The 15432-nt window shown below is 38.5% G+C and overlaps 1 protein-coding gene across 19 annotated transcripts in view; it reads left to right on the forward strand.

Moving 5' to 3' along the window:
• The window catches only part of TNRC6C (trinucleotide repeat containing adaptor 6C), a 151279-nt gene that overhangs the window by 40912 nt on the left and 94935 nt on the right, over positions 1-15432 (forward strand). For 17 of the 19 annotated variants that reach the window (NM_001395512.1, NM_001395509.1, NM_001142640.2 and 14 more), the window contains 2 exons: positions 5702-5801; positions 6590-6611. Coding sequence is in view for 16 of the 19 variants with exons in the window: in NM_001395509.1 (NP_001382438.1) it covers positions 5739-5801; positions 6590-6611 (85 nt within the window). In the remaining 3 variants the exon portion in view is untranslated. Of the gene's footprint in view, positions 1-5701; positions 5802-6589; positions 6612-13534; positions 13593-15432 lie in introns of those variants that run through there. The other 2 variants (XM_047436496.1, NM_018996.3) reach the window with 2 other exon arrangements.

Below are 15432 nucleotides of genomic sequence, written 5' to 3' on the forward strand. Positions count from 1 at the left end.
GTTGGGTCTTTTAGTATTATCCTTCAGGTCCCCGAGGTACTGTTCATTTTTTTCAGTCTCTTTGTTTTCCAAATTCAGTAATTTTTCTCTGTTAAGTTCACGTACTCTTTCCTCTTTCATGTCCATTCTTCTCTTGAGCCTATCCAATGAAGTTTTAAATTCAGATGGTTTAGTTTTTTAGTTCTAAACTTTTATTTGTTTACTCAAGTGTATTTTTATTTGCCTCCTGGAGCATAGTTATAATAACTGCTTTAAAGCCATTGTCTGATAATTCCAAAACTTGGGTCATTTGGCCATTGATGTCTGTTGTCTTTCGCCCTGACAGTTGGCCACATAGTCTGGTTCTTTGTATGAGGAGATATTTTGGATTTTATCCTGGACGTTTTGAGTATGTCATATAGACTTTTAGTACTATCAGACTCTTCTAGAAAACACTGGTTTGTTGTTTTGTTTTTGTTTTAGCAGGCAATCAGCCTGGGTAGGTTCAAGGCTTCCAGTGTCAGCTCAGTACTAGGCTCTCACTATGCTGCTTTGGGCCTGGCCCACATGTAGGAGTTAGTCTGAGGCTTGGGGCAGGGGGGTGTTGACATCGTAGTTCAGATCTCACAGCCTTTGTTCTGCTGTTTTGAGTCTGCCCCATAAATGCATAACTCAAAGGTGAGCCCAAAATGGTGAAGGTTTGTACACAGAATTGGGAGATTCCCTTTTCCAGCTGATTTCTCTCTGGGATCCCTGACTCTCCTGGGATACGTCCAGCTCACAGGTGCTCCTTTCTTTAGTCCTCTGCTGCGAAAGATGGGTTTCTCTTGGTTGTAGGTGTCAGTGCCATGCCTGCTACAGCATGGCTGTGATTGGGGCCCACTCCCTGGGCAAAGGTTTGAGAAAAGGAAATGAGAAAGTCACCCCCACACAGATTGCCTTCCCTACATTTTAACTCCTCTTCCCAAACCACCTACTTTTGTTACTTTTCATTATTTATGTGTTTGTGTTTATATTATACTTTGTCCAGTTTCGTTGTTGTTGTTGTTGTTGTAATTGGCAGGAGAGAGGCTGTAGCTGGCATAATCCATCTTGCCCAGACCCAGAAGGCCTGACTCCATCACTACCTGGTTTAGTTTGCTATGCTGCGTAACAAATACCACTAAATGTAGTGGCTTAAAGCAGTGCACATCCATTGCATGGTTTCCATGGGTTCAGGAGGCTGTACTTACCTGGGCCCTCTGCAAAGCTGTGCAGTCAAGGCCAGGAGCTGTTTTCATCTGGAGGCTCTGCTGGGTAGCGATTGGTATCCAGGCTTCCTCAGGCTGCTGGCTGAATGCCGTTCCTTGCAGCAGTAGGATTCATGACAGCTTGTTTCTTCAAAGCCAGCAGGGAAGAGGGAGACTCTAAAGCCAGTCTGCTAGAAAGTTGGAGTCTTACGTAACACAGCCAGGGAGTGACAACATACACCTTTGCCATATTTCAATGGCTAGAAGCAAGTCGCTGGTCTCTCTCATACTCCACAGGAAGGGATTATACAAAAGTGTGGAAATCAGAAGACCATAGAGTCTGTCAAGCACAGGTCTTCTTCACAACTTCTGGTCCTGTTGGTCAGAGCCATTTGGCAATGAGTCGCCTTTTCCACCCCAAGTCCAGGTGTCATGCTGAGTGACTTAAGCATTCTTAGAGGCAGTCCATCCAATATGCTGGCTTACAGGCTTTGGACCTTCTCTATACCAATGACTTTATTTCACTTTAGAACCCAGTCCTTGTGACTCTAAATCTCAAGCATACTCTCTATTCTGTTTCTTTCCATAGTCTATATAGAGTATTAAATATAATTAAAGTTTTACCTTGTCTTTCCTTTTAGATTTTATGCTCAAGGCTGAGACTATTTTGTCTTATCCTTCTCATACTGCCCACAAAAGTCTAGCAAATACTTCCTGCACATAGCAGATAGTCAAATACATGTTGAATAAATTAAGACCATAACTATTTCTATGACAACTGCATAGCCTACCAGTTCCGTCCCCTTCTCTTTTTAATTTTGTCTGATAACATTTTACCAGCCCTTCCTAACATAAACACTGAAAGGAAATTCTAATTGAATTAGTCAGTTTCAAAATAGTGGCATGTAACACACACACTCTCTGTCTCTCTTTCTCCCTCCGCCCCCCCCCCCCCACACACACACAAATTAGTGAATATTTTGATGACATGGCATTGGAGTCCAACCAGTATAACTTCAGAGTATGGTCTCTGGTGTTCTTTGTAGGTGAAACTAAGGACGAGAAACATTTACAATTTCTGATAACTAAACCTCAAAGACAAAAACAGGCCCCTGCCCTCTTTTATTGAATTTTCTTCTTTTACAAATATAGGAAGTAGTCAACTAACAAAAAGACTGGTAATTTGTAACATTTTTCATCCAGAATTGTTTTGCATGAAGTGGCTGGATTCTCAGTCTACCTACATAATTTCACCTTTTGAATCATTATTTCTCTTTCTCCATCAGAACCTCTGAAACAAAAATAAATTATTGTTTCTCTGGGAAAATCTACAGTTTAACTAGGAACACCGAAATGATACCCACAGAGGCCCATTTGTGGGAAATCTTTTCACCCTTTCCTCCTCCTAGCTGCCTCCAAAATATGAGTGTTGCTCCTTTTTCTACCCAGAGCCTCCTAATCTTGTGATTGCTAAATTATTTGAGAATGAAAGAAACAAAGGGAAAACCCAAGTTATTAAAAAATGTTTTCTTCCTAATAAAACTCAGTACAGAGGGATCCACTATAGTATACCTCACCATACCATATGAGGTATAGGTAATTTATATCCAATTTGGCCCTTCAAACTTGCTCTGGGCCCAGCAGTTGAGCCCATATCAGATTTCCTCCTTACCTAGTTGCCGTTGCTACTGAAACATAAGCTGAAACACCAATCGAAGGGATGCTTTTCTCTTCAGCAGAGCTGGATAGGACAGCTGGAGTTCTTTGCAGTGGCGGTATACTGGAAAGGAGGTGAAGATGTATGAATAGAAGAATGACTGAATAATATGATAACATTCACACCATGGTACATTATGGAGCCATTAGAAATAACAGATTGGACATCTCAGTAGGGGGAGGGAGAGAGAAGGGAGATCCTCCTTCCCTGCAAGTATTGAATGAGAAAAGCAAGTTGCAAAAAAGTTTCTATAACATAATCCCAGTTATACCAACAGTGATCCAATAAAATCTTTGTAAAAATGTTTAAGTATATATGTTTTTATACAGTTACACGAGCAGGGACAAAAACAAAGATATGAATCTAGGTGGTTTTAACGTGGGTCATGGGGGGAGGAGATATTTGACAGGGATATGGAAGGGGGAGAAAGTAGATAAGGGATGCCAAGCATGTCAGAAACAGGAAAGCAAATATTGTCCTGGGGGGAAGCATGATAAGATTATATTTACAAATGTATGTTGATCATGTATATTTAAACGTAATTTTAAAAAGAAAAAGTTCTGTGATTAAAAAGTAAAATTTTCCCAGTCTGGCCATTCCTTTTCTTTATTCTCCTTGCTTCTTGACTTATAAATTTATTTTACAACTTAGAAAAAATACAAATTGACTCTCCATTTAATTGATACATTTGTTTTTTTTTTCTTTTAATAGGTGAAAACACTTTTCAAATCCAAGTTTATAATTTCACTGTGCAAGGTAGACAGTAACTTTTTAAATACTACTTGATCATATCAGAAAATAAAGTTTTCCTTAAAAGGAAAACTTACAGATTTTCTCCACTGTAAATTTCAGCTGAGATTATATACCAGAAATTGGTACCAGAAATGCCCTGAAGAGTAACAGATTCTTCTCAGGGCCGCAGAGAAAGAGTCCTCCTACCAAGGCACTTATAGTCCAGAGGACAGAGGAAGCTCATAATCTCATTTAAAGCCAGGACATGTGGCTCCCGACTGTAACAGAAAAATAGCCTTTGCAGGAGGCCAGCGCCCAGGCAGATGCAGATGTTCATCTTGTCAAATTCTCACTGCATTTTATACTTGTTGCTGTTGTAATAGCGATAATTTGTTTTACTGATTTTTGTAAATATCTTTGAAAGTATATGTATTCTTATCTTGCTTCCTGCTATAATCCCAGAGCACTTATAAAGCTATTGTTCAGGCTGGGTGTGGTGGCCCACACCTGTAATCCCAGCACTTTGGGAGGCTGAGGTGGGAGGATCACTTGAGGCCAGGAGTTCGAGACTAGCCTGGACAACATAGCACGCCATCTCTGTTTACAAAAATAAACAAAGCTTTTCTTCAGAAAATACTTATTAAATGAATCAGTCCCCACCTCCCTCCATCCTTGTTTTTGTCCCTGGTGCTTACTACAATAAATAGCACATGTTAGTTGTATAGTTCTTCAGTGATTGAATTAGTGAACATATGAGATGGACTTGAGGTGTAGACTCTCTAGGAAAAGAAGTGATTAAAATAGCTTAGAAGAAAAAGGAAGAGTCAGGAAATGGGAAGATTCAGTGAGGATCAAGAACAGGTGCCATGTAAATAGTGATAAGAATAGGAAGTTATGGTCAGAATGCGGGATAGTGGCATCTAAAATTTCAGCAGTGGTGCAATTCTGGGTGGTTAGGGTCTAGTAGCTAATACTATAGATAAAGCACCCTGGTGATCAGGTGGGGGAAACTACATGTTTTGGCATTTGAGGTTGGACTGGTAAAACAGCCAGTTCCCTACCTAATATCCCTAAAGCAAAACCCACTGCGAAGGAAATCCATCCCATACATACAAAGCCCCTAATTGGTATTTCAGTGCCTGAACAGACAACCAAGGGTTACTACAGAGTTGAGGAAAGGCTTTCAGATCAGAGAGTATCTAAGGGAAGAGGCATCCAGAGAAGGAAAAAAGATATGCAGAAAACTTAGAAGATTTTCAGAGAAAAGAATAGAGATGATTTTGCATACCTAAAACAAGAACAGGGTGTTGTGGAAAAGGAGCATTCAAGAGCACAAGAAGGTTAACAATTTTAAACATCACAATAAAAAACTCAGTAGAAGGATTAGAAGATCAAGTTGAATCAAGCACCCTCAAAATAGAAGCACCAATAAAAGAGTAGAAAACATAAGAGAAACAACAAGTTACAGGTGATCAATCCAAGAGATTCAATATGTTGTTATTTAGAAACAGAAGGAAGGTGTTTTCAAGAAAATAGAGAACTGAAAGGTATGAGCTGAAAGCATCAGCCAAATGCCAAGCACAAATAATGGGGGAGAAAAGATACATCACCCTGAAATTTCAGAACCCTAGAGATCAAGTGGAAAAAATAAAGCATGGCCAGGCTTGGTGCGTCACACTGGTAATCCCAGCACTTTGGGAGGCCAGGGCAGGAGATCGCTTGAGCCCAGGTATTCGAGACCAGACTAGGGGCTGGACTGTAGGAGCTGTATCTTACTCCATATCATACCCTTATCCCCAGCAATGCCTGATGATGGGTTGGTGTTCAACAATGTGGACTGAATGAATGAGACAGCCGGCTACTGAAGAAGTCAGGGCAACCTGCAGTGCTGTTAGGGAAGTGTCCCTTTCTAGCACCTTCTCAGAGGGTCCTCCTGTATACCATATGCGAAATTCTGACTTAAGATTTGGAGCAGCTAGTGCTTTTTCATTGTTTGACTTAACATGATCATCAAACTTATACTAGTTTTCTTTGTATTTAATAGGGAGAAAGAGCAAGAAACACAAGAAGAGGAACGTTTGATGGAAGAAAAGAAAAAGAAAAAGCAGGAAGAAAAGAAAAAGAAGGAAGGTGCTCAGAAAAAGGTTTGGCTGAAGTTCCTGCTTCATTGTCTTTGTATCATTGTGTGTCTCATTTGCATCATCATAGCCATTATATGACAAGGTTTCATTCTGTTACTTTTTAAATCAATATGCCAAGTCTATAATTAGCGAATAATAGATATCCTACTGGTGAAATAAATACAGGTGACAGCCGTAAATGTCTAACTTGGAACTGGAAGTGTTAGAGCTGTGTTTTAAGGAAGCTGTGTTTTAGTTGCTGGTGGTGAAGTGTGTCCATGTTGTTCTACTTAAAATGAACTGTCCTGAACAACCATGTCTAATAAATGAAGAAGGGCCATTCAACTGATCTTATTAGAAAAGCTAGAAATATTTTTTTTTTGCAGCTTTGGCAAATGTTCTTTTACGAATCCTATTAGTAAAGATTAAAAATAAAAGCCCTACTGTAAACTTCATAGTCAAGCTTGAATTTTATGGCATTTAAAATACCAAGTTATGCCATTTGTCTTTGTTCTTACCTAGTTTAATGTATCTTGTAGTTTAAACAGTATACCTATTAGAGCCTGTTAAAATTATAGAGTTTAAATGAGCTCCAGATAGAATTTTTTGCCTTTAGATTAACATTGGTATATAATCAATGGCATGTACACATTTTTCCCACTAATAAATTGTAATAAATTAACTGGGCAAAAACTCATTTTTAAAATTTTCAATACTAAAAGTTTGCTTATAAACTTTCATAGATGTGTACATTCTACACATTATTCCTAAAGAGTTTCTTTCTTTCTTTCTCTCTCTTTTTTTTTTTTCAGGCTGCTGATCAAAAAACCAAAGGTAAGTTTATTTATATTTAGGGGGGTACATTTATGGCGGTACCAAAATTTTTATGACCAGGATGACTTTTTTTTTTAAATTGATGGTTAAAAAACGAGAATCTAAGCCTGCCTTTGAAACTATTTTTTATTATTCATTGTGAAATTCCTCATTTATCACTGGTTTTACATCTGCATCTCATTGGTATTTGGTTAATCTAAAAATGTCTGAAGAATGTTATATTAGCTTTCCAAACAATGCTTTTAAATTTTCTTTTGATTTCCACCAAACAGGATCGAACTGATAAAGTTGATTCAGTTTGAATAAGAACAACCAAAGGATATCTGCATTTTTTTAAGGTTCCAATTTCTCATTGCCAACTATCCTTTATAATAAAAAAGATATATTCTTTCTGGATTCCCTCTTTGCTTATTGATATGTAAAAGATTTCTCTTTTTATCCTCCAAGTCCAGAATTTGCTGGTTATCATAAAAGGTGTTGGTGGAAACACACGCATTTCTCACTGTTACTCAGGAACTCCTATGATGTGCTGGAGATTCAGAATGAACAAACTGAAAGCCATACTCCAAGCCTCTTCCTTTTATACCTGTATGTTTAGTTATTTCCCAGTGGTTAAGAGCACCCACTCAGGAGTCACATAAACTAGCTCTGTTTAATTTGGGACAAGTTACTTCACTTCTTTAGGCTTCAGTATCTCATATTTAAAATGAGAAAGGTAGTGAATGGTTCCTACCTCATAAAGCTGTTACAAAGACTTAATACGATTATTTGTCAATTCAAAATAAAATGTAAAAAAAAAAGACTAATTGAGATCATGCAGGAAAATGACTCAGTATCTAGCATATAATTGGTGCTCAGTAAAGGTTTACTATAACTGTTATTCTGAAGTTTTTTTCCACTGGACCATCACATGTACACAACTGTACATGTAGACACATGCACTCTCACAGCTAATACTATGCTTTTGTGAGACATTTTATAATTTTCAAAGTTAAGGTTATGTGTATTATCTCATTTGAACTTCATAGCTGAACAGGAAAGGAATTCGTTTACAGATAATCTCCTAGTGTGAATTAAGAGGCTGGTTCTTGGTTAAGAACCAGTTAATGGTAAAGGCAAGACTTGAGGGAGTCCAGGTCTCTGAACCTCTAGACTAGAGTCACATGAAGAGAGGGAGTTAATGCTCAATGAATATTAAAAAGCAGCATAGCAAAAAGGACATTTTTCTCTGTTATACTCTCAGAAGCACTGTGAATTTACATAACACTTTTCCAGAAGGGTCCAAAAGGTTTATGGTACATAGTTGTGTATGAATTTATGATCTTGAATGAAAAACAATGGTTTCTTACTATTGTCATTTCAAAATACAGAGTTAACTGTTCTGGATCATCCATTTCTTCTTCTTCTTCTTCTTTCTTCTTCTTCTTCTTCTTCTTCTTCTTCTTCTTCTTCTTCTTCTTCTTCTTCTTCTTCTTCTTCTTCCTTCTTCCTTCTTCCTTCTTCTTCCTTCTTCCTTCTTCCTCCTTCTTCCTTCTTCTTCTTTCTTCTTCTTCCTTCTTCTTGAATTTTTCTGTCTGGTTTAGTACCAGCTATATTCTTCATCATTGTCACTGTTTTCTACTCAAGTAGTAACAAATTGCTTATTACTGAACAGTGATTGTGAATTACATTGTCCCACCACTTTACGCAGAGCTATCATTTTCTATTACTGTTCTGATGAGAATTTTCTTTTATTTATTTATTTATTTATTTTTTTTTTTTTTGAGATGGAGTCTTGCTCTATCGCCCAGGCTGGGTGGAGTACAGTGGCATGATCTCGGCTCACTGCAACCTCCACCCCTCAGGTTCAAGTGGTTCTCCTGCCTCAGCATCACCCCACCCCCACCCCATAAGCTGGGGTTACAGGCACGCATGGCCACACCCAGCTAATTTTTTGTATTTTTAGTAGAGACAGGGTTTCACCATGTTGGCCAGGTTGGTCTCGAACTCCTGACCTCAAATGATTCCCCCCCACCTCGGCCTGCCAAAGTGCTGGGATTACAGGCGTGAGCCACCGCACCTGGCCTCTGTTGAGAATTTTCATTGCTAACTCCAAACTCTACTGGATTTTTCTCTTCTCCTTCTATATCCTCTAAAATACTGTTCCTTTGGGTACAGTTTATCAGTAACTACTAACTAGCCTTAGAATGGGTTGTAGTAATAATTAATGTCTTTCCAAACAAAAAATGCTTTTTGAATTATAAATAATCTAACAGTACTGCTAGGTAATTCATTGATGAATATTAGCAGCATCAAGGTTTACGTTTTTCTCAGACTCTTCATTATTACTGGTTCAAACCAAAATTCATTGCCTGAGAAATATTGGTTCCAACTTTCTGACTGGACACTTTTGTCGGGTGACACAGGTTGGCCTGACTGTACCTATGATACATGTTATAGTACTAGTATTAGTGTTCACACATAAAATTGATGCTTTCCTAACATTCTAGCATTTTGACTTCCCTCCCCTGCTCCAGATTGTGTGTCTATGAGGGCAGGGGCCACATTTGCCACAAGGCAGCACCCAGAAGTCTCAAGGCCCTGAGTTGTTTGAATATAGGAAAGTGTTTAGCAATTTGAGAGAGTCCGAGAGTTGGATACTCTTAAGAGAGAAGCTGCAGTTATAAATTAGATTGCATAATATACTGAATCAATCAACATTGTAGAAGTTTGAATAATTTTGGTTTTGATAATTAGCTCAAACTAGACCAAATCAATTAGAAATTCCCTTACTCTGCAATATTACACACCACTCAACTAGTAGCATTCGTAAAGCCATGCCCCAATTATTTAGCATTATATTTGACTTAATTTTCTCAATAATAGAAATGCTTTAAATTTGGATTTGTTTTAAACATTTTCAAGGAACTTTTTAGAATATATGACATGCTCATCTATGATACTCCTCTACCTTCTCCTGGAGAATATTAACTAGTCTAATCCGTTCTTAATAGATGAGTCTCCATTATAGCATTAATTATACTTAAAAAAATGTTTGCATCTGGCTATAACCATCAAACTTGAACTATGAATTCTTATTTAAAAGACTAATGCCGAACTGAAGCTAACTGGAAATATATGTTTTTTGAATAACTTAATATAATATGTAGCATGCTTTCCTACCCTCCCCCAACAAATTTGAAAATTAGATTTCTAGGAAGTCTGCTTTGTAAAATTACCACTGAACAGAAATTTTGTTCCTGGCTATCTTTTCAAATTCTGACCTGTGATATCTTTGGGTCATTTTCTTTTTAAGATTCAGGCCAAGTGAGTACGTTTGTGTGAAACACTATGCTGCCAACATTCATACCCCCATCCTACCCTGATGTGATCATGGGAACCACGTTTTCTCTGCAGCCAGGAGATACACTTTTATTCAGCCCCGGGGGTTTTCACTCAAATAGTTGATTCACTTTGGCTTTCATCAGTTTCTTCCTCTTGACTCCCCCTTGATTTTCCTCTATGCCTCTAAGTCTGCAAACCCTCCAGTGGGGTTGACATCCTGCACTCCTAAGGAGTCTGGGCATGTTTCTAAACCTGGAGGCCTTTTCCTTAGTTGTCTCAGAGTGTTGGGTTGTTGTTGTAGTCAACTTTTTCTTATTTTTCCCTCCTGTGATGAAAAACAAAAGTTATATATTCTGATTGAAAATAATTTGAGATTATCTAAAGAGAAATTAAAGTTCACTCGAAATTCCTCTGTCCTGAGATATTTACCCATTAACAGTTAGCCATCCTTGAATGCATCTCTCTATGAATTCATATACATAAATATATATTTATATGGACTCTCCACTGCTCCCCCGCAGTTAGCACTCCTGGATCCCTATCCCTTCAAGGAGCTGCACCAAGCAATTTGAAAACCTCTGTGGGAGCCTATTCATAAACTAGCCCTTTGTAAATTCTGCTGAATATCGTCTTTGCGTTGGTGACCAAAGAAAGAGACAGCCGAACACAATTACCTGTTACCTTAGTGAGACCCTAGATGCTCTTATACTGGGGGAAAAGGGAATCAGATATAATCCTGTTGCCATTAACTTGTGCATTGTAGCTCTCTGTGGAGTAACTGGGGTCCAAGTGTCACTTCAGACTGGCATGGGTTTTATGACCATAATGAGTAATCAGTTTTCTTTATTTTTGGCACTGCCCTTAATTGAGGCACAGGTAATAATAGCTTTATTTGTGATATGATGACCTTGGGAGCCTAAGTTTTCAGTATTGTTTTCTGGGTGTTTTCATGGATTGAGTGAGGGTTTTTTTAATGATTAACTATGATAATTTTCATAAATGTGAAAATTTAATTCAGTGCTTTTAGCCAGATTTGTTTAACTTCATAAAGTAGATGTTTTCATACAAAAAGCTCAAAGTTAATCTTACCATGTATGAAAGTGAATACCTTCATGACCCATTATGGTTCATGGTCCATATCATTAATGAATTATGTTTTTGTTTTTTTGAGATGGAGTTTTGCTCTTGTTGCCCAGGCTGGAATGCAGTGGTGCAATCTCGGCTCACTGGAACCTCTGCCTCCCAGGTTCAAGCAATTCTGCTGCCTCAGCCTCCAGAGTAGCTGGGACTACAGGTGCGCACCACCATGCCCAGCTAATTTTTGTATTTTTCATAGAGACAGGGTTTCACCATGTTTGCCAGGATAGTCTTAATCTCCTGACCTCGTGATCTGCCCACTTCGGCCTCCCAAAGTGCTGGGATTACAGGCGTGAGCCACTGCCCCTGGCCTGAATTATGATTTTTAAGTCATATACATCTGAATTTATACTTTTTTTGAGAGAGAGGGTCTAACTCTGTTGCCCAGGCTGGAGTGTAGTGGCACGAACACAGCTCACTGCAGCCACCACCTCCGAGGCTCAAGTGATACCCCAACCTCAGCCTCCCAAGTAGCTGACTACAGGTGCATGCCACAGTGCCTGGCTAATTTTTGTATTTTTTTATACAGGCAGGGTTTCGCCCTGTTGCCCAGGTTGGTCTCACACTCAAGCAGTCCACCCACTTTGGCCTCCCAAAGTGCTGGGATTACAGGCTTGAGCCACCAGCTCAGCCCAAATTCGTACATTTAATTAGTATCCTAATCTTGTTTATAAAGAGTATAATTTTAGTTTTGCAGTGAGGTATTAAACTTTACCATGCGTTCAGTTTGTAATTGGTAAACAAAACCTCTAGGTGCTTTTGTTAATAATGTAAGTCAGTTGAAGCCATAGTCTTCCAGTAGTCTTCAGTTGAGTGATGGAGGTTTTAGAGTCACAAAGTATTGGCAGTGTGCTTAGGCTCATTCTAAACATATAAAGTTTAATATCAATCAGAATGAAAAGTAGTAAGAATTGAGGTTTATAGCATATCTTCCCAATTTTATAGTCACACATAGAAATATATGTTTTTCATATGTTTTTTCTACAACCACATAATGGGGCTGGAGACATGAGTATTCTGTATTTGTTGTCAGTATAATTATTAATTTTAGGAAGGAACTTAGACACTTAGGATGTTTTCAAATAAGGCTGAAGGAAATTCCTAAGAAATTGATTGTATGAGGTATCTTTAGGGGATGGCATCTTTTAGGTTTGAAATATTAGATATGTCTTTCTTTAGCTATGTTGCTTTATATTTAAAGTGTTTATTTTACTGTTAAATTCCAGGGGGAAATATAATAAACATTAATTTTTTTCCATGGAAACAAAAAAAATATTAAGATGAGACATTTTAAAAATATATAGGTTATTCAAAAGGGTAAAAATGTATTGCCAGAACCTCTGAGTAGGTACATGAACGTATAAGTTCTTGAACAAATTGTGAAACAAAGGAAGTGAGCCTAGCGGCAAGGAAGCGGGGCGCTGTGCTCCGGGGGCGCCTCCCGAGGGCACTTCTCCTGAGTCTCAGATAAAGTGAAAGTTCACATCTCTGTTTCATATAACTTTTCACTAAAACTTTAAACATAAAGGCAGTTTCTAAGTTTAGACAAAGTTACAGTTTATAACTCTAAAGGATGCTGACAGTCTGCTGTCTAAAAAATAATTTGTTTACCCAGACCAGTTTCTTTTCTGTGTTTTTTTAAAAACAACTTTATTGAGTTATTGTGGACATTATATTTAAAGAGAAGAAATAGATAAGTGTTGGCATATATTCACCTGTTAAACCATCACCATGATCAAGATGACACCCATCATCCCTGAAGGTGTCCTTGTGACCTTTTCTGATCCATCTCCTCTGTCCCCACCCTACCCCCATCTGTCTCTAGGCAAACACTGATCTGCTTTCTGCCACTATAAAAGAGTTTTTATTTCTAGAACATTGTATTGAGGGACTCCTACACTGTGCACTTTGGCTCCTTTCACTCAGTGTATTGCTTTTGAAATTCATCCATGCTGTAGTGTGTATCAGTAGTTCATTCCTTTTTATTGCTGAGCAGTGTTCCATTGTGTAGGTGTATCACAGCTATTTATCCTCTTCATTCTCCTGTTCATGGACATCTGCGTTTTTCCAGTTTTGAGCTATTGAGTAAAGCTTCTTTTAACATTTATGTACAAGTCTTATATGGCTATATACTTTCATTTATCTTGAGTAAATGTATAATAGTAAAATGGCTATGGCATATGATAGGTGTATGTTTCATTTTTCAAGAAATTGCACACAGCTCTTTCCCAACGTGTTTATACTGTTTCACAGTTCTGCATCTTCACCAATGTGTGGTATGGTCATCTTCATAATTTTAGCCATTCTAATAGGTATGTAGTGGTATCTCATTACACTTTTAATTGGCATTAACCTAATGACTAATGTGGCACTTTATTTTAATGTGCTTATTTGTCATCTTGGTGAAGCGTCTTTTAAAGTCTTTTGCCCATTTTTCATTGTTATTTATTTTCTTTTTCCAGATTGGTTTCTGATACTAAATTGGCCTCTAGAGTTGGGCAGAAAGACTCATCGCTACAGGTTGTCTACATGCCTCAGTCATTGCCCTTCTATGTGTGTAGTTACTTGTAAATAGTAATATCAGAAAATATGCACTTTCAAATAGAATCACATTTTATCTAGCTTTTAGCATAACCAAAGATTACATTAATAAATGAGCTAAATATTAGTCACATTTTGCTACCTAGAGATGGCTAGTTAATTCATTAATTAACTTAAACAGTTAATAAATACCTGTTAGATGGCAGAGATCAGTTCCCTGTTCTCAAAGAAGGAAACTACAGACACTGGGTTCTCCTTGAGGGTGGAGGGTGGAAGGAGGGAGAGGAGCAGAAAAGATCAGTGTTGGGCACTGGGTTTCATACCTGGGTGATGAAATAATCTGTACATCAAGCCCCCCATGACATGAGTTTACCTGTGTAACAAACCTTCATATGTACCTCCTAACCTAAAATAAAGGCTTTTTTAAAAAAGTTCCCTGTTCTCAAAGAGATATTTTAGTGGGAAGAGCCAGGCAGATAAGCAAATATATGTATATGCAAATGAATGCAATAAAATGTTCTGGGCATTGTAACTGCTTTATCTCAGCCAGGTGTCAGTAGGTCAGTATAAGCATTTCATGGCCAGTGGCGGATAGGGAGCCAGTGCTTCCAGGTATGAGAAGTCAGGCTCTAAGGAAAGTACAAAAAAGAAATTTTACAATGTTGGCAGCAGAGGAGCTGCTGAGTGAGGTGGTGGCCAGTGCAGTGAGGACCCAGCAGATGGTCAGTGAAGTTGGTTGTGATTTATCTATCTCACACTTTCTACCTGAAAGGATTTAGGTTTGGTCATCTTTTCATCAAATATTTGCATCTCTATAAGAAAAGATAACTTGTTTTTAAAAGTAAGTGAGAGAATTGGGAAAGGAAAATACTGATATGAATGAGGTAAGTGCATACAAGAGCTGGGCCACTCCCAGTTGTGCCCTAAGTTTGCTATGAAAGCAAGGACAAGGAGGGGTTGCCTTATCCCAGTCATCTTAAACCCGTCCATCAGGTCATTAAAACTGAGCACCCTTACCAAGCTATTCTACCCAAAAAAGAGTTGAAACTGTTTTTCAGCTCTTTTGAGAGAGGTGGAAGGTGGGAAGCTAGCTCATAGAGTCCTTGAACACCTTCCTAAGGACTTTAGATCTTCTGGACCAGAGAGGGAGCCATTGGAGAGTTTTAAGTAGGAGAGTGACATCATGAGATTTGTGCTTTAGAAAGATCACTGAACCTGCAGAATTGAAGACGAATTAAACAGAGGAGGAGAGAGGGCTGGAGGCAGCAGGTACAGTTGGATCAGTGCATAGGTCAGACTCCAGCTTACTAGCTAAGTGGCGGGGGTAGACAGGGAAGGGTAGTGATGATTGATAGAGTAGGCAGAACTTAGAAACTAACTGAGCTAACTAATCATTTGATCCAGCAGATATTTATTGAGCACCTGCTATTTGCTTGGTACTGTGCTGATTGCTATGGGAAGAAAATGTTAAAATAGAGATACACTTCCCACTCTCATGGAGCTGAGTCTTATGAGGAATGGACATAAATCTCAACCACAGTGATACATGTATCCTTACTAACTGGGATGGTGACTGTGTGACAGCATCAACAAAGGAGCCCAAACTTGGCAGGAGTTGTGGAAGGTATCATTGAATCTGAAGGGTGAGCAGGACCCAACTAGGCCAGGGAACACTCCTACATAGAGAGGGAACAGCATCTGTAAAGAGCCTGTGGCCGTATGGAGTATGACATTTTCCATGAACTAAACAAACAGGAAGCTATGAAATAGCAGGGTATGAGGTGAGGCCAAAGTGAGAGATGGGGATTGGTTCACTATG

Source organism: Homo sapiens, chromosome 17, assembly GCF_000001405.40.
Source record: "Homo sapiens chromosome 17, GRCh38.p14 Primary Assembly".
Taxonomy (NCBI): Eukaryota; Metazoa; Chordata; class Mammalia; order Primates; family Hominidae; genus Homo; species Homo sapiens.